A 20568-nucleotide genomic window follows, 5' to 3' on the forward strand; every position below is an offset into this window, starting at 1 on the left:
GAGAACTAATGAGATAATGGCCTGCAAGTGGTTGGAAACCCCTCAGAGGGTGTTAATACCCAGGACGCCGGTCTCACTTCCTCCTAAACTAATTCCAGTTATCAACAATGCGCACACACATTCAGATCCGAGGAGTGACCTCACTTGGAGACTCGGCGGCCAAAGCCACACACATTGCCTCACAGCCATTGATCACAAGAGACATCCACATTATCTACCAGTTTTATTCTAATCTTCAAAGCAAATATACAGCAATTCTGCATGATCCCAAGAATTGCATATTTTAAAGTGACAAATAATAAATAAATAAATAATAGAAAATCACTCAATTCTGATCTGGAAACAAGAGGCTGCAAAATGTACTTGCAGTAAGCGTGCTTTTAGAAATCCAAATTCACATTGAAAAAAATCTATTTGTGTGTAGATTAAGATATTCATAAGGAATGCTCCACTTCCTGTGATGTCTGCCTCTGATAAGGATACCAGAGTAAAGGGAGTTTACTTGGAACTGCATAACATGAAAGGAAAAAGACCTGGTTCTTTAACAGTCTTGTAGAGATCAACTTAATTAACTGATCAATTTGGAGTGGAACAGGTTAGAAAATCCATTCAAGTATCGCTGATGAAATTGGCAGGTGAGTTTGGTGCAGATAGGTGGGGAGAGGGGAGAAAGAGAAAGACAGAGAGAAATGAATCTCATGCAAGTAATTCCTTCCAGGTCTCTGGTTGGTAGATTTGGAGGACAGCCCCCTCTCCAGTTTCACAGCTTTGCAAAATTTAACTGTTTCTCTGTGTTCCGCTGAAAAACTTCATTTCAGAATCCTGCAAATGATTTTGTCTTCTGTTCATTTGTGTTAGGAATTTAGAGACTGACATCTGAGCAGTGCAGGCTGTGGGAATTAGGGAAATAATGTTAGAGCTATTTAGATTTCTGCTTTTCATTCAACAAATATAAGGGGAAGACTTTAAATATTAGATGGAGGAAATAAAATATGGATAAAGAGGTATTCAGACTAGGTCTTTATGGAACAGTAATTGCAAACCCTTTCCAAGTCTTTCTCCCAATTGCTCCTTGAATATTGAGGCTGCCTCTTTTAGTTTCTGTGGCTAAGTTCACCTCTGTAGCATTATGTCAGGCAAAGAACTATGAACACAAACAGCTCCCATTAGGGCTCTCAGCCCCAGGGGTCCTGACAGCTGGGAAGTGTTGCAAGTAAACTATTACAAATAATGGATAATTGAAATTTATCAATGATTTATTACACAGACTATAAGCAATATTTCAGGGTTATTACCATGAGGATACCTCTCATTCACCCACATTCCAATTTAATTTTACTTTCTTTTTCCTGTCTTTTGGACCACAGATCCACAGAGTTGAATTAATTCTACTCTTTAGTGCATGGTACACTCATGGATTCATCAAATGCCCTTCAAAAGTGCCGTTGTTGTTTTCCCTCCAACTCGCTCATCCCACTCTCATTCCCCCTCCTCCAGATACCCTTACTCCTATCTTTATGTAGATATACGGACATCCTTGAATAATATATAATATTACTTTGTGTGTGCATGTTTAATATCTAATTTACAAAAGGCAATGGGCTATAAATCTCATTCTCTCTGTTACTTTTTTCATCCAGCTCTGTTTTTTGGAATATCTCCTTGCTGTTATATTGAAATCTAATCATTATTGCTGACTGCCTTGCATCCAGCACAGTTGCTTCCTCCATTGCCCTAGGGATGAACACCTTGGTTGACTCTACCACACACACACACACACACATATACACACACACGCATAGATCGTGCTGCAAGGACCACCCACGGAGATGTCCCCTCACAGATCTGTGCACGTCTGTCTCTGGGGGCTGCACTAGGAGTGGGATTGCCGAAGCATAGGATATTACACTCCCACCAGCAGTGTCAGAGGGCTCTCTTTTCCCCACATCCCTTTCAGCACTTGATATTAATAAGGTTTCCAATTTCTGTCAATCTAATTATTTTAAAGTGGATCGTGTTATAATTTAACTTTGCATTTCTCTGATTACCAGTGAAGTGGGTATCTCTTCACATGCTTAATAGCAATTTGGGTTTCTCCTTCTACAAACTGCCCATATCCTTTGCCTGTGTAGCTCTTATGTGAGTTTCCAATCCTTTTTTTGCCAATCTGCAGGAGTTCCTTGGGTCATCAATTCCTTATCGATTTTAGACACTGTGAACATCTTTCTCCATGCCATTGGAGGCAGGTTAACTGTTTTGAACCGAAATCTTTAATTTTTTAGATAGTCAGACCCATCAATTTTCCCCTTATGGTTTATGTTGTTTGGGTATTGATTAAGAAATGTGCAGAAAACTACAAAGCCACAAAGATAGATGCCTATAGACTCTTCTGTAAGAATTGTGTCTTTTCCCTTCATACTTGGGTCCTTAGTCCATTTGAAATTTATTTTTGTCTATATGGAGAGGTAGGCATCCAGCTTTGGTTTTTTCCATAGTGAGTCATTTATCCCAACACTATTCACTAAGTGATCCAGCTTCCTCCCACGGATTTGGGAAATGGCTCTATTATATACCAGTTTCCCATGGATACATGATTGGGTGTCCAGGTGCATATTCCATTTTTTGGTTAGTTTGTCTATTCCTGCACCACTACCCCACAGTTTTATTGTGGTAGTTTTGAAATATGTCTTAACTAATGTGTTTTCTTAAGTGAGAGAGAAGGGTAGGGTTATATTAGTGGACTAGGAATGGTACAGAATCCCACAGCCTCTCTCATCCTTGTCATAGCCCGTAATTCCCATATAAGGTCGCTCATGGGAAGGGATCCTACATGAAAATTTCATCTGCAGTCTATGTCAAAATGGGGCGGGGGAAGCTGAAACATCTAAGAGGTCACCTGTTTGCCGTGCACAATATCCTGGAATTAAATTCCGTAGCTTTCAAAATAAGAAAGAGTGTCAATATTTTTTTATTCTTTCTTGAAAGTTAATACCTTAAGAACCTAGAACACAATTCTTCTGTGGAAATCACAGAGCTTCAGGAGTTATTTCATTGGATTGCCAAGAGTTCCTAAGCGGGTAATTTGTATGCAGCAATTGAGGGGCAAAGTGGTTAATAATAAGCCTAACCCCAACATCTACTAACTAGTTTTACTAATCTGTAGTGGAACTGAAACTAGAACCCAGATCTCCTGGGAGTTCCTCTTCAACTTTACAAATACATGTCTAATGCTCCCTGTGTGCTAGGCATCATTACACGGAGTAGAAAAATGAGTTAATAAACAAGGTCTCTGTCTACATATTATTCAGTCAGTGACTTGCCTGGGCCCTGGCTTTGTACTCTGAATCATGGAAGAATGGACCTATTATGAAGTTATGAAGATATTTAGTCGATCCTATCAGCCAGAGGTCAATTCAAATACATTTTACATAGACCGGCTGACAATCAGCTAAAAATTCCAAAGAGACTCTGCTGTGGTGGATTAACTGGCCAAATACAGACCTAGTCTATCACTCAGATGAGACAAAATGGTATGCCAAAAATGTCCTTCCAGAACAGGAATTAGATTAAAGCTACATTAGGGTTTCTGGATAGTCAACAGTTGAGCTGTTTCCAGCTAAGGGAAAAGACAGAATATTCAGGCTCAGGAAAGAAAGAAAGAGAGAGGGAGGAAGGAGGGAAGGAGGGAGGGAGGGAAGGAAAAGGAAATGAAAAAAACGATGCTCAGTTGGGAATACCTAGGAAAAAGGCAGGATGTTACAGGGGCAGAGACATCCAGAAAGTCTTCTCCTTTCCTCCTCTCTGACTTTACCAGAATCTCATTTTGAGCCTGAATTACTTGTGAGTAAATATCAGCAATTAACCAGCACAAATAAGGTGTGGCTGACACATAGAAAATATTCAATAATTATTAACATTTTTAAAAGTAGACAAATATCTCTTAGAAATAATGAATTGAACAAAGGAGTACATGAAGCTTTCATTTGCAAGTGTGAAATAAACTGAACATTGTTCACATTGTCTATTTATTTTTGCTTTCCCTATAGCCAAATTCCTGAAGGAATTATCTCATTAAAAAAAAATTTAGGTGTTGTTTATCATAGCAAAAAATAAAATAAGAGTAAAGACAAGAAAAAGAAAACTGTCCTAAAGTTTGGTTGAAGAAATTTCAACATATTCATATTTTGATATTCTACTAAGTCTTCATAATTATTTGAAATCATGTGGTGGATTAAGAGTAACAAAGAAAGATATTTAGACTTTGTGAAATTGAAAAAGCAGGTTAGATGATAATATATTATTGAAGAATACAGAGCCTAGAGGCAGACAACTTGGGTTCAGCTCCCACTTCTTCCACTTCAATAGCTACGAGGCTTTCGGCAATATTTGTAATCTCTCCCTGCTTCAGTTTCCTCACCTGCAAAATGGCAATAGAAATTAAACCTACTTCGGCCAAGTGCAGCGGCTCACGCCTGTAATCCCAGCACTTTTGGAGGCTGAGACAGGTGGATCATCTGAGGTCAGGAGTTTGAGAGCAGCCTGGCCAACATGGCAAAACCCCATCTCTACTAAAAATAACAAAAATTTAGCTGGGCGTGGTGGCGGGTGCCTGTAATCCCTCAGGAGGCTGAGGCAGGAGAATCGCTTGAGCCCAGGAGGTGGAGGTTGCAGTGAACCAAAATTGTGCCATTGCACTCCAGCCTGGGCAACAAGAGCAAAACTCCGTCAGAAAGAAAGAGAAAGAAAGAAAGAGAGAAAGAGAGAAAGAGAGAGAGAGAGAGAGAAAGACAGACGAAGGAAAGAAAGAAAGAAAGAAAGAAAGAAAGAAAGAAAGAAAGAAAGAAAGAAAGAGAAAGAAAGAAAGAGAAAGAAAGAAGGAAGGAAGGAAGGAAAGGAGGGAGAGAGGAAGGAAGGAAAGGAGGGAGGGAGGAAGGAAAGGAGGGAGGGAGGGAGGGAGGCAAGGAAGGAAGGAAGGAATTAAACCCACTTCATAGGGTTTTTGAGACAATTTAGTGAATCAATTAATACACGCCAAAGCAATCTGAACAGCACCAATAGATGTTAGTTATGGTGATTATTATTATAACAGTATCATCTCATATCTTCCTATAGAGAAATGTCTGTAAAGATATACTATAAAATTTTAACATTTTTTATCTCTGGAAGGTGAGAGTATGGATTTATTTTTCTTCTTTCTGCTTATCTACATTTTTCTAATTTTCCCAGACATGAAAATATATTGATTTTCTAATAAAGAGCAACAAGTTATTTTATAATTTGTGAGAAAAGATCTATGAGATGGGTAGAGGCGGGAAAGAATGGCACATCCACACCGTCAAGAGCTCCCTGCTGACAAACAGCATGGCAGTGAGGATGGTGCTGGGTTACATCCCCAAATAAGTAGGGGGTGAGGGGCTGAGGAAGGGAATAAAGGAACGTTGGAGAGAGTGACATTCTCCTCCTTGTTTTTTATCTCACACTCAAGGTTAAGATTCAATACAGCAGCAAAGTGAATAAAGAAATGAAGTGCTGTGAGAGGTCACAGGGACAAACATCGAGTGGCTGGGGAGTTTTGAAAGGCATTGGATAATTTCACCGCCATTAATAACATCTGCAGTCCTGCCAAGCAGGCTAATGGCAGGGGTAATTAGAGCCTGTGCTCTAAGACAGATGACTGCTTGTCAGAGCAGGAGAGCAGGTCCACCCCAGGGGCCACTGCCCAGGGGTAGTCAAGGCCAGGAGGGGGCAGGGCCTTGTCAGGAAGGACCCTACCTGATCACAGGAAAGAGATGACCCAGACTGGCCTCTGTGGGAAGATTCTCAGCTCACAAAGGAAACAGGGGGTGTCGGGGCAGTTCGGGGCTTGGGTCTAAATATAAAGCTGGTCCATACTAATATCCTGTCATGAAATACTTTCATCCTTCACATATCCAAGATTTAGGCTTACAGAGAGACGTTCAGTTCAAAGAAGTTGTGAAATCAATAAGTTTTTCATTAACCAGTGATTACCCAGCCATCATTATGCCCTCACTGGTAGAGTGATTTTCTAGTCACTCAGACTAAGAAGTGGCCATTTGAAGACTTAATCTTTCTTCATGGACAAGGAAAGGAATGGGTTTAACATGAGCATTTTGGTCTTTCCTTGTCTCTAAATCAAGTTAAGTTCTTCAGTTTTTTGATAAAGATGACTAATGTATTTTTTCTAAAGGTTTTGTTATGAGATACAAAGATTTATTTTTGAAGTGAAGATTTCCATCTGGATAAGTCTCAGAAAGAATCCTTGTATCCACGAGATGGTTCCCTACCTAGGATGCCAAAGGGAAACACTTGCAATGCCACTTAGGGATTTGTCCCAATAATTTCACTTAGGCAAAAATATATCAAATGATTATTTCAGTAGACTTCTATACAAGTTTACTTGTTTGGAGATATTAGACCCCCCAGTGCAATGCTGCACAATTTTAAAAGACACCTAACCAACTTCCACTTATACATTTCAGATTGAACAACAGTGTTTGTATTAGTCTGTTCTCATGCTGCTAATAAAGATATACATGAGACTGGCTAATTTATAAACAAAAAGAGGTTTACTGGACTCATAGTTTCACATGGCTGGGGAGGCCTCACAATCATGGCAGAAGGCAAAGGAGGGGCAAAGACATGTCTTACATGGCAGCAGGCAAGACAGCATGAGCAGGAGAACTGCCCTTTATGAAACTATCAGATCTCATGAAACTTATTCACTATCACGAGAACAGCACAGGAAAAACCACCCCCATGATTCAATTACTTCCCACCAGGTCCCTCCCACAACACATGGGGATTATGGGAGTTACAATTCAAGATGAGATTTGGGTGGAAGCACAGCCAAACCATATAGTGTTTATCACATATTTCTCCCGGAACCCCTCTGAAATGATAGAAAAGGAATTGAAGACGTTTACAATCACATACATTAAAAAAAAGAAAAAGAAAAGGAGATGAGAGTAGGCTACTGATGCCAATTAAACATGACAAGCTGGATGAGACCTGGAACTTTCATTTCCAGGAGTATGACAGATTAGACTTTGTGGCAAGCTCTATTGCCCAGATATACTGAGATCCTTGTTAAAATACATTCAGCAAATATAAAGAGACAAGGTGGGAAATATGAGGGAGAGGTTAAGAAAACTGGAAGCCAAAGTGAGAAGGTGTGATAGAGCCTTACATAGAGATAATGAAGAAAATGGAAGAGGTGTAAATGTTCTTGAACAAATGAAAAGTATCCATCTACTGATCCAGGAAATAATCTATCTTAGATGAAATTCACTAATATTAGTAACGTGCTACTTTTCTTTATTTGAAGGTGTATTCATTAGTATTCATTTTATCATTAGGCTTTTAACATGTAGATACAGCAGGTGTACTCTTTTTAATGTCTTAAAAATTACATACTGTAACAAATTAAAGTATTGGCATAAGTGCTGAGTTAGGCTTCAGCTTTATGAACTTTGCTAAGCTCCTATAAAAAGATCCAACAACAAGTTAGTCTATGAGAGTGTAATCTTAGAGGTTAATGATTTTGCCCCTCCCTGTTTTCTGTTTTCTCCTTTCAGAACCCCTATTATTTGTGTATTGGACTTCTTGATTGATATCACATTTTCTTATCTTTTCTCTGCAACTTTTTGTCTTTTTAATTCTGTTTCCTGAAAGAGTTCTTCAATGTTTATCTCCAATCCCTTCTACTAAGGTTTTAAATGTCTGCTATAATGTCTGAATTTCTTTAAATGTCTGAATTTCATCTAAGATGGGTTGTTTCCCAGATCAGTAGATTGATAGTTTTCACTAGTCCAATAACATTTATATTTCCTCAATTTTCTCTATTATCTCTTTCTAAGACCCTGGAAAGCCTTAGAGGTTGGAAGCACCACATACACCAGAAGACTGGGATGAGGGGTGGGGTTGAAAACTAGAAGACTGGTTAAAAGTCTGTATAAGGAGTAATTGAGCCTGGATTCTTTCCCTCTATATACTAAGCAAGACGGCTGGTCCTCCTCTATTCCAAAGACTGTAAGTTTTGTCTCAGGAGAAATTGAGTTGAAAGAGGTCTAACCTTAACACCAAACATAACTGAAAGCACACTGGATTTGGTGACAGCCTCTCTCCCATTCCCACACATATTTATTATTATTATTACCACTCCAACCCTAATTCCAAGAAAGCAGATTAGAAATTTTGTCTCTGGAGAAAAAGACTGATGACTGACCCCATTCCCCCAAATCTAAGAACCCTTATTTCTGGGGGTTCCCTAATGCAACCAGCAAGTCCCCACTATTTGTCCTATTGTGAAGAAAGTCTCCTCTCCATAAGCCTTATCCCTCTCCTACCCAGTTTCTGGTCATCTCTTTTGTGTCCCAGTCTGAAATGCAAAGAGATGGCCATATGTTAACAGACATTTGATGAAAGCTCCCAATATGAAGGCCATACATCAAAACAAACAATTTGTTGGGGGAGGCGGGGAAGAAAGTAGGAGGGAATAGAATCAAGGCAAGTACTGAGGAAAACTACAATGGTAACAAACTATAATTAATATTGAAAGATAAGGGATAACATTGCATCTATGAAGCAAGAATTAAATGTTATAAAATGGAACATCCGGAGAAAGAGAAAGTTTTTTAAAATTAGAAACATCATAGCAGACATCTAAAAATTCAATAGAAGGAACTGGATGATAAAAGTAGAACTCTTTCAGGAAATAGAATTTAAAAGATAGAAAATTACAGAGAAAAGAAAATATGACATCTATCAAGAGGTCCAACATACAAGTAATAGGGACTCCAAAAGGAGAAAACAGAAAACCAAGCAAAATTATTAAACACAAATTCCCCATATTTAAGGGTACATGTTTTCAGTTGGAAAAGGACCCTTGAGTGTCAAGTAAAATGAATAATAAAAAGATCCACAACAAGTCACATTGAGTGAAATTCCAATATAGCAGGGATAAAGAGAAGAACTTAAAACACATGGTGTAGGGAGTAGGGGGAATAGGTCATATATAAAAAATTAGAAATGAGAATGTTATTAAATTTTCAACAGCCACAGTAAAACCTCACAGACAGTGGAGTGATGCTTTCAAAAAACTAAACAAAAAAGTATTTCTCACCTATAGTTATACACCTAGTCAAATTCTCAATCAAATATGAGAATAGAATGAAGGCTTATTCAAACATGCGAGTTTATTTTGCATGCATTCTTCCTAAAAAAGTTATGTCCCAGTAAAACAATAAGTCAATAAAGTAAACCAAGATGGGAACTAAGAAAAAGTACAGTCTAAAGTTGTAGAGAAATAAAAAGAATTCCTAGGATGTTGGGAAATCAAGCAGTAGAAATAGAGGCATGTTATTTAAAAATTTAAGAATTACTATACGAAGGCCGGGTGCAGTGGCTCACACCTGTATCCCAGTACTTTGGAAGGCTGAGGCAGGCAGATCACGAGGTCAGGAGATCGAGACCATCCTGGCTAACACGGTGAAATCCCATCTCTACTAAAAATATAAAAAATTAGCTGAGCATGGTGGCGTGTGCCTGTAGTCCCAGCTACTCAGGAGGCTGGGGCAGGAGAATGGCGTGAACCCGGGAGGCGGAGCTTGCAGTGAGTCGAGATTGTGCCACTGCACTCCAGCCTGGAACAGAGTGAGATTCTGTCTCAAAAAAAAAAAAAAAAGAATTACTGTAAGAAGAAAAAAAAAACAGCCAAAAGACTTGAAAGTGGTTGCTTCAGGAGAATGTAACTTGGAGTTGGGAAGGGGTAGGGTCTACTATTTGCTTTTTAAAATCTATATGTATATATTACTTTAAAATATTTAAGTTAAGAAAAATGTATCTCAAGACTAATCTAGAACACTCTGGAGCCTAGTTCTTTTTTTTAAAGCATCAGCTACAGTTTATTTTTATCCATTTCAGTTCTTAATTTAAGCAATGAAGCACAGAGAAAAATTGGAAACACTAAAGAAATGGGGAAAAAAGAAACCACATTATCCATAATCCTCCAACTCTATGTGACCATCCGAATCATTTTCCTTTCAATATTTTCATAGAGTTGTAGTCATGGCTTCCATATAATTATATCCTGCTTTTTTCTCCCACATTATACTGTGATCAATTTCCAGCTTGCTATATAGCATTGTAATCATCTTTCTTAATGGCTTGACAAGTCTTTTTGATCGGACTGTCACGCTCTACAAAATAGGTCACCTCTGTATTAGGGTTCTCCAGAGAAACAGAACCAATAGGAGGTATGTGTATATAAATACACACACACACACACACGCACACACATTTATTATGAGGAATTGGCTCACGTGATTATTGAGGCTGAGCAGATCAAGTCCCATGATCTGCTGTCTGCAAACTGGAGAGGAGACCAAGAGTATAATTCCAGTCCAAGTCTGAAGGCCTGAGAACCAGAGGCTGAGGGTGTAAATCCCAGTCCAAGGGCAGGAGAAGACTGATGTCCCAGCTCAAGTACACAGCAGGAAGCAAAGGGGCAAATTTCTCCTCCCTCTGCCTTTTGTTCTGTTCAGGCCCTCAAGGAATTGGCTGATGCTCACCCACACCGAGCTAGATCTACTTTACGGAATCCACAGATTCAAATGCTAATTTCATCTTGAAACAACCTCAAAAATATGCCTAGAAATAGTGTTTAATCTGGGCACTCTGTGTCAAGTCCACTCATAAAATTCAGCATCCCAGTCCCCTCTCCCTCCTTCACATGGTCCTTTTTTCCTGCTTTTCAGACACTCCTAGCATGTGCTCCTCCACCAGCCTTGGCCCTGGGATGCTCTTCCTCGCTGTCACCACTCAATAAGTGGCTTAAATGCAACTCCCACAAGACCTTTCGTGACCCCTGGGCTCCAGTAGGCCCCTTTCTTTCACACCTGCTTTCATCATGGCCGTTTTCACTCCCAGACATTTTCTTTTTATTACTTAATTTGTTTATCTGGGGCCTGTCTCCCTCAGTCAATTGTAAACACCATGGATGCAGAAATTATATCTTTCCTATATCCCACTCAAAGACCAGCACAGAGAATAGAGCTTGGCACAGAGAAAGCACTCAGTAAATATATGAGGGGTGGGGGGTGAATGAATAAGTGACTGAATAATGAATGGATGAAATGCTAACTGCTCAGGGCACAGAGAGAAACCTGAGGCTGAACAGGAATAATGCACAGTTTGTTAAGCAAAGAGTCAAGAGATCTGCTTCTAGTCTTGGCTCCGCCACTCATCACGTGCATAACTTAGAATAAGACACACTGAATCTCTCTGTGCCTGGCTTTCTCGCCTGTGAAATGAGCAGGTGGGAGTAGGTGGCCTCCATCATCTGTTTTGACAATAAATACTGAGGTCTGCCTCTTTGCAAGTCCTCATTTTGCTAAAGATTTGTGTTGTGACTTTTGGAGAATAACTTTAGTTGGTTTCCCAGAAAGATGGATGAGTAGAAAATTTAGTCAAACAAATATATCTCTCCTTTTTTTTTTTGCCCTGCATGACAACCAGCAGTTAGTTTTAAGATTTCTTAACTCTGTATTTTCTTTTGTAAGATTCATCGACTAGCTAAATAAAGCAGCCTGAAGCTGGAGGGTGCCCTCACAAGAAACTTCCTTGATAGGCAATGATCCTTCAGGGAAATAGAGAATGGTGGCTGAAAGCACATAGTCTGATATCAGTCAGACAAACCTGGTTGTAAGTAATCTCCATGCAGGAACCTGGACAGGTTACTTAGGCAGAGAGGGTTGTATAGTAGTGCCAAATGCTTGAGCCAGACTGTAGGGGGTCGAGTCCTAGCTCTGCCACTTGCTGGCTGTGAAACCGCTCATGTCTCAGGTTTCCATCTGAAAATGGAGTTAAGAAAGTACCCACTTTATAAAATTACTGTGAGGAGTAATGAATTCCAAATGCATAAAACACCTTAGTCAGCGGGCGCTGAGAGCACACAGAGTCACCACTCTTTGGGTTTGCTGCTATTGTTGTGCTGTCATTACTTAATTTATCTAGGTCTGTTTCTTCATTCATTCATCAATGAATATTTACCAAGTGCTTTTGAAGAGGCATCCTATCACTTCATTAACTTAAGATGAGACTTCTGGGTCTCAATTATAAAATCATTAGCCTATAAGTCTGGGAGGAAGTATGTTAATACCTCTTGCAATCATTCTCAAACATGTTCCCCTGGCAGTACATCTTGGGGAGAACTGCCTTCTGGCTGTGTCAGTCATCCAGGGGAGCATGGCTTACCCCCCCACGTGCAGGATTCCCCTACCCTCTGTCATCCCACAAGAAGTTGGACCTCACTGTGCTCAGAGTCAACTCTTCTGACTCCCAGTCTGGGCCAGAACAAGCAAGGCAGGTAAATGACAAAATGAAGGGGTAGAGAAACACAGAGGTATAAATGGAAGCACTCCAAAAAAAGAAAGAAAGAAGTAACAAGGCACTAGAAGTTGTTTCCTCCTAACATATAGAGCAATTGGCAGAGATGAATTTTGGATCTGATGTTCATCTCTGCCCTCACTTTCTCTGTCATTTCCCTCACTTTCATTTCTGAGAATACTTCTGAAGCAGAGATTTGGGTCCATGATAGTGGATGTAATAGGAAAATGTTTAGAAGTAAATAATGGCAACTTTAAAGAAAGGACTATCAAAGTTGCTAACAGCATATTGATGCACTTGCATATGGAAGAATTAAATAAGTTCATAAATAAATGAAGGTAGATCTTGAGATTATAGCTATTGAATTATCCTCGGATCAATAACTGGAGCCTATCTTTGTAGAGTATTTATATTTCTCCTAGTCCATAGTCAAAATTAACATTCATGATCATGGTCTGTCCAACTGCCTTAATAGGGCTTCAGAAGGAACTTATAACCTTCTCCTGCAAGCTTGGTCTTCTTCCATAGTCTCTAACTTCATCCAAATAAGGCATATAACTTGGAGTTTTATTCTTCACACTCCTACTCTCTCAACATATCCAAACATCAGCAAATCTTACTAATCTTAGCACACAAATACCTCTCAAATTGGTGAATATTAATTAGTTTGAAATAGTTATGGTTAGCATGTTCAAAAACATAAATTAAAAAATAAAATATAGAAAAATGAATAAGGCATAATTAAGCAAAACAGGTGACTCTATAACAAGAAAAGGTGGATAGGAAAAAGAACTAGTTAGAAACATCAGAAACAAGAAGTATCATAAAATATACAAAATCAGTAGATGCAATAAAACCTAGCTTGGATGCAGTCACGATGATAATTAGTAAGTTGAAAGATAGCACTGAAGAATTCATGCAGAACACAACACAGCAACAAAGAAATACTGAGTAAGAGGAGACTTCAGAGGCACGGTGTGGTAACTTTCCTGCAAAGATGGCCACCATTAATTCCATCTCTCCCCATACACACAGGCTACTCTCCTGCCAAGAGGCAGTGTCTCCCCTCCTCTGGAATCTGGGCTGGCCTTATGATGTTTTTGACCAAGAGAATGTGGTAGGGGTGCTATTTAGGGCTTCTGTGGTTAGGTCTTAAAAATTCTTGACAGATTCTGCCCGGGGTGCTTGAAACACTCCCTCTCAGAAGCCAGTAATCATACTGCGAGAAGTCTGAGCCACATGGGGAGCTGACTAAGACCCATGGAAAGCCAACAGGTAGGTGTGCCAATGGACAGTCCCAGGTGAGCTCCCACCCATGGGATCATCAACTGTCAGACATTTTGGGCCCATGAGCCATGGGGCCAGTGAGTCATCTTGGATGTCTAACCCAGTCAAGTTTCTGGATGACTTTGCTCCAGCTGGCATCTGGCCTCAACTGCACAAGAGGTCCCAAGTGAGAACAACTCAGCCAAGTCCAATCACCCCATGGAACCATGAGAAATAACAATAAATTATTGTTTTAAGTCACATTTTGGTGTGGTTTGTGGTACAGCACTAGATAATCAGAGCCTACCAAGAATAGACTGAGAAGTTCTGATTAACAATTAACAGGAAGTCCAGAAGAAAATAAAAAAAAATGGCAGAAAAATTATATTCAAGAATATTCAAGAATTTTCCAGAATTGAGAAAGACATGGGTTCTCGGCATGAAAATGCACACTTTATATGTCAAGCAAAATCATTAAAAATAAATTCACACCTAGTCACATTGTTGTGAAGCTGCAAAGCTTAAAAGCTAACAGACAAAAAAGGCAGGTCACTTACAGAGTAATGACAATTGAAATGGCAGCAGGCTTCTCATCAACATCAAGAAATGCATGATGGCAGGAAAGCAATATTTTCAGTGTTGAAAGAAACAAACTGTCAATCTACAATTCTGTACTCATCTACTTCATCATTTGAGTGAAAGCATAATAGAGACATTTTAAGAGATGCAAAAACTCAGAGAGCTACCTTTATGTTCCCTCAATAAAAGATTTAATTCTGGCTGGGCACGGTGGCTCATGCCTGTAATCCCAGCACTTTGGGAGGCCGAGGCGGGTGGATCACAAGGTCAAGAGATCGAGACCATCCTGGTCAACATGGTGAAACGCTGTTACTACTAAAAATATAAAAATTAGCTGGGTGTGGCGGTACACGCCTGTAGTCCCAGCTACACGGGAGGCTGAGGCAGAAGAATCACTTGAAACCGGGAGGTGGAGGTTGCAGTGAGCCAAGATCATGCCACTGCACTCCAGTCTGGCGACAGAGCGAGACTCTGTCTCAAAAAAATAAAATTAAATTAAAACAAATAAAAGATTTAATTCTACAAGAAGAAATAGGAATTTAAAAAAGAAAACTGTATCCATGCAACAGCAGGCAAACCTAAAGTACAAAGTAACATACTGCAGAATGATGCATATAGTATAATACTGTTAAAGTAATATTTAAACCCCTACCAAAAGACTATGTATTGTTTATTAAAATATCCACATATAGTAAAGTGGGAAACATGGACGGAAATGATACCTACCAGCTTCAGGACAATGGCAGCCACGGGAGAGGGAGCAGAGAATGAAATTGAGAGGAACACACAAAAGGCCCCAACTATATCTATAACACCTATAATTATTACTATTTGAACTCTTTTCTCTACTTAGGAACTGAATAGAGGCCAGTGATTTTTTTTGAAAGAGAATTGTTTGGAGGAAATGGTATCTCCTCACTCTCTGAAATCTTACGACCTGAAACTGAAGACCTACGCAGATTCTGATAAAATGGTGTGCATTGCTCTCTAAGCTTCCTGTCTGAACCGTCACTATCCAAGCTCACTAACTGCATAGAATCAAAGTGCACAGGATACCAAGTTTCTGTTGCTTTAAAAATATAAGGTCTTAAGCAAAATGGTAAAATGCTAACAATTTGTTAAATCTGAATGGTAGGTACTTTTGTGTTTAAATATTTCAAATATTAACAGAACAGTTTTTTAGTAATAATTTGTGGAAAGCAATGCCATGGCTTCCTTTCAGAGTCACAACACAAACAAACTGGTGTCCGTGTAGCTGACAGCACTTTGTGTTGGCCCCGCTGGCGGAGCAGCAAGGTATCGCCACTTCCTGAGCTGCTTCATCTGCGTTTGGATCCCCAGTGCCACCAGACAGAGCTGGGCTGTGCCCCCCACGTCATTCACAAATTTACAGAGTTAGGAGGAGACATTCAAAGATACATGACTATATCTGATGAAGTAAGTTCTCGGACAAGGCCAATTTTTATTTAAAAGAAAATACAGTCCCAAGAGGAAATTTACATAAGGAAGGTGACCCATACTTGGAAGCTGAAGAGGTATGCTGGACCAGGGGCAAAGAGAGCTAATACCAAGGTGAATGTGTAGAGAACCGCAGGAACAGTGATGTGAACGTGAACACGAATCAGGGGCCACCAGGACGTCTCCTGACTAGCAACTGGACCGCAGAGCCCACAGCCCACTGTGCCAGGGTGAAGGCCGGACATCCAGCCTCCAGAGACTTGAACTGGTTCTCTGGATGGTAGCAAAAAAGGGGACTGATTAATGGACAAGTCTAACTCATTCCATGATTCTCAGGAATCTTTTGGGAGAAAAACCCAAGAGAAGTCTAAACTTCCTGCTGATTTGACAGGTGGGGCCTGGACTTTTGTGATTTGGGTATTTAAGAGGAATTGTTATCTTATATTGGAGATACAGATTGCTGACGGCAAGGCTTTGGGCTACTGACTTTATCCTCATCATTTGTACACTAGGCAAAGAAGAAGCAGAGGTAGAAAGATTTCAAAACAGCAGCCTATCCCCAAGCAATTTTGCAGTCAGTGAGGCCTTTCCTGACCACTCTGTTTAATATTGTATTCCTCCCACCACGTACTCTGGACCTGTCTCCCAGCTTTATTTGCCTTAGTAGAAGGATTACCTTAATGTTTAAAGAATTATTTAGTATTTTTTCTGTCTCTCCAACTAGGATGTAAGCTCCATGGAGTCAGAAATTATCTGTTTTGTTCACTGCTGGTCTGTAAGTTTCAGAGCAGTGCCTGGCACAAAATAGAAGCTTAGTAAACATTTATTGAATGAATGACCCAACCTGTGTTTGGCTTTGGAGTGTGCTCATACATAACACATACGTCACAAACACTCTCAGTGAGATAAAATTTATGGAAGACCATTGATTTAGACTGAGCTCCTGCACTAAACCCTGACAAACCAATCTAAAGTGAAGTCACTCATGCTAAGGCCCATATCACCAAACTGAAACCTAAGCTGTTTACCTTTAAGATCTGGCCTTCTGAGAAATCAGGAGAGACAGTAGCCTAACACCCAAATAGGAACGTTTACCAAGAAACAAGAGATTCACAGCAACCCATCAAAAGGGGCCCAGTCAACTGAGCTTGTGATAAGGGAGCCCCGTCTGCTTTAACCCACACAAGGAGAGTAACCTGAAGTGACCTGATGTTAACCAATCTGCTTTTTGCAGTAGGCTATCTCCCCGTTCCTGCTCAAGTTGCCTTACAGAAACCCACTCTTCTGCCTCACCCAGTGGAGCTCCAGTCTGTTTTGTAGACTGGATGCTGCCCAGTTCATGAATCACTAATAAAAGTCACTCAGCCCTTCTCAGCAGACTCAGGGCCTCGTGCTTGCTAAATATAATGGAATCTAGAAACAGTGTGCATGGAGCACCCTGTTTTTGTTTTAAGCTGAAAGAAACCCTAAGGCAGGTTAGGAGAAAGCAGCCTGCCCAGACCACAGCCGTTGCCTACGGATCAGAAAGAGGCCTGGGCTGGAGTGAGGAGCAGACCTTTCCCATGGAACCCAGGGTCACACCAACTCTGAGGAGCCCAGTGACCCACATGGGCCTGGGAAGGAAGTGGCCAGGATAGGCCAGCTGGGGACAGTGCCTGGCTCTCCACTTCTGCCCCATGGTGCCTCTGGGAGAGTGATCTCACCTCCTGTCCAAACCCCAGACTTCAAGTAGCTTCTCCAGCTTTTTTTTTTTACTATTAAAAAAAAAAGAGGAGAGAGAGAGCTGGGGAGAATTAGAGAAGGCAAAAGGTGGAGGGGCAGACAGGCTGGGCTAAACCGGCGAGCGTCCTGCCAGGGGTAGCTGTGCGGGAAAGGGCCTGAGGCTGGACGTTAGCTAGAGCTCTGCTGCGATGGAACAAAAATAAAGTCCCTTTTCTGCAGGGTGGGGGATTCCTGAAACAATGCCCATTGTGGACTTCTAAAGCCTGGCTGGGGCCCCAGCTTCTAAAAGGGGTTTTGAGTTGTAACAGCAACAACAACTCATTTGCTTTTCGTGGTGATCCCTAGGCCACCCTATCCTGATGGCCTGATCTTCAGGAGGACAAGGTGAACTGTTCCCCTTATCTCGCCTTGCTTGACAGGACAGGGTTAGCAGGAGGGGAATCAAGTTTAAGTTTTGTTTTGCTTTTTTTCCTCCCTTCTGGTATTTCCTACTGTACATGCTGCCAGAGGCGATGACAATGGTGGAAACTAATAAACTATATGTATAAGCTTTTCTTTCTGGTACAACAAACACAGGTTATGAGTTTCTCTGCCTCTTTTAATCATTGCTTAAAGTCTTTTCTTTTCCTTGCCTGTGGACTTCAGCACTTGCCTTGCTAAAGGCCTCTGCCTTTTGTTCTGGCCTGAAGCACAAACTTCAGTGGCAGCCTCCTTGTTTAGGGCATGCTTTCTCATCCTCTTTCTGTTTCCCCTTCCCTGTGTCTGTCCCTCCCTCCCCTTCCCTTCTCAGCACCCCACTCCCTCCCCCAAAACCAGTTTATTTGTTTGAAATTGCCAATACAGCATTTCCTACACTGACAGTGTAGGAAACCTGAGTTATGGATTCTGAGTTTCTAGTTTACTGCCCAAACGACTCAGGGCATTTATTTCATGGGCCTCTTCCAGGTGGAGCAGGTAGGGAGAGGTGCTAAATAACTGACTTGCCAGAGTGTGTTCATCGTACGAGTTCCCTCTGCGTCAACTAATGAGACTTACATAATTAAATGCGTGTAAATCTTCCCTGATTGGCGGTGTTGGTCCCTGGTTTGGGAATGTCAGAGAAGGCTGGCAGGTGGCATAGAAGGGAGGTGGGCTTGCCAGGTATCTGCATCCCTCTTCATGGCCTCCCTCTTCCAGGGATCTTCACTACTGCCTCCAAGGCTCCACCAGCCAGAGGACCAGGCCTCTGAGCCTCTCATGCCCCTGGGAGGAGAAAGGCAGGAAACAGAAATGGCCTTGCCTTATTCTGCATATCTAAAAGCAAATTACCTTAGCTCCAAACTAAAAAAAAAAAAATGCTTCTATATGTAAACAGCACCCATCAATCGCTGGTAAATTATTTCCTTCTCCCTTCACAAACACATATCCAGCCTTAATTCAGATAATCTTTGACTTAGAAGTAAGAACCCGCAGAAGGACTTTCAGATGTAGATTCCAGTAATTTTGCCACAGATTACTATAGGATGGTAGGTGACCTTCAACACAAATAATTCCTCAGTTTAGACTGAAACCACCAGAGAATATCTGAATAAACACAATGTTTGTCTCCAACAGCTCAGCTCTCTTTGGTTGCACCATCTCACCTGTAGCTGTGTTGTCGCTAAGCCCTGGCTGGGAGGAGAGAGCTGGATGGATCCATCTCTGCCTTGCTGTGTGGGATTGGGCAAGCCACTTTCCATCTGGGCCTGTGTTTCCTCAGCTGCAAATTAAAAATTAAACTGAATTATTTCTAAGATCCCTTCCATGTTTAAACTTCTATGAGCCTGAGATGAAATTTGACTACTAGTAACCAAGTCTATTAATGATTGTTAATCCCTACACATCCCCACAAGAATATGAGCTACTGGTGACTTCAATACTTTTATTAAATATATATATAATTGAAATATAATATATATGCAGAAAAACACATAAATGTACTGCTTGATGGGTCTTCCCAAACTGAACATACCCTGTGTAACCAACACCCTAATCCAGAGGCAGAACATTCCCGGCTCCCACAGAAATCCCTCACCCGCCACCTTTCCAGGCTCAGGTTCCATATTAATGCTTCATAAATAAATTTTGAGTCTACAACTACTCTACCTTCAATTCTGTTACTTAGGCAAATTCACAAATAGTCCACACCTGCATTGTAATAAACAATAGGGGACAAAATAAACAGTTCTAGGGAACTAGAAATGGTCCTTTATTACCCAGAGAAAGAGCTTGTCAAACACAGGAGATACACGAGAGCATGAATAAAACGAGAAATGGCTTAAAACATGACAATTGTGGCAGTGGTCAATAGCATTGATTCCTTGAGTGCTCCTGCCTAGATGAGGAAATCAGTTCATTACTGAAAGGAAAATAACAGCATTTACACCCATTTCCAACACCAAACACACACACACACACACACACACACACACACACACACTGGCATGGTTCATTTCGGTCACTGAATATAACTCCTTCTTTTAGAGAAAAACAAATGTTTAGGGTTTCATGAGTCATACAAACGTATGCAAAGCACACTATAAAGACAATATAACCTCTATGAAGATTGATTTGTAATTCTCATATCAGTGTATTGAGGGGTCATTGATGGATTTGCTTTATATTCACCGGCCATGAAATCAAATCGTGGAGCCTGACTCTACCCTCTGGGATGGCCCAGAATCGGGAGGTGACTGGAGCTGAACTTTCCTTAGGTTGCTGGTATTTTCTCCTAGGTCAGGAGGAAGGGTAGGGATTTTAGATTTGGAAGGGTCTATAGAGGACCTGCAGTGCAAACCCTCTATTTTATAGATAAGCAGTTTGGACCCAGAACAGGGAAGGGAGTTGACCGGTCACCAGCCAGATGGTGGCAGGCCAGGGAACTCCTGTGCTCTTTCTGCTACCCCACGGGCCATCCCTGATCCCGTGTCCTGCTGTGGCAGCTCCTGGATGTGGAGTTACCTGCTATTCCCTTTCGCAGCATCAAAAGCAGGGGAGATGGGAGGAGCTGCCACTGGCGCCCACAGCCCTTCTCCTCTTGGCCTTGTGTGGTCAACTAAGACTGTCTTTTGCACGTTTTCCTTTTTGAATGTAGATTTAGGAAGTTAAGGTAACCTTATC

At 40.9% G+C, this 20568-nt stretch overlaps 1 long non-coding RNA gene across 1 annotated transcript; it reads right to left on the reverse strand.

Moving 5' to 3' along the window:
* Positions 1–208: 208 nt before the first annotated feature.
* Positions 209–19094, reverse strand: LOC105377490 (uncharacterized). Its single transcript, NR_188450.1, has 3 exons — positions 19053–19094; positions 18466–18672; positions 209–890 (listed from the first exon to the last, which is right to left on the reverse strand). It is a non-coding gene; the product is annotated as an uncharacterized LOC105377490 (long non-coding RNA).
* Between the last annotated feature and the right edge of the window lie 1474 nt (positions 19095–20568).

This window comes from Homo sapiens, chromosome 4 (genome assembly GCF_000001405.40).
Source record: "Homo sapiens chromosome 4, GRCh38.p14 Primary Assembly".
NCBI classification, from domain to species: domain Eukaryota; kingdom Metazoa; phylum Chordata; class Mammalia; order Primates; family Hominidae; genus Homo; species Homo sapiens.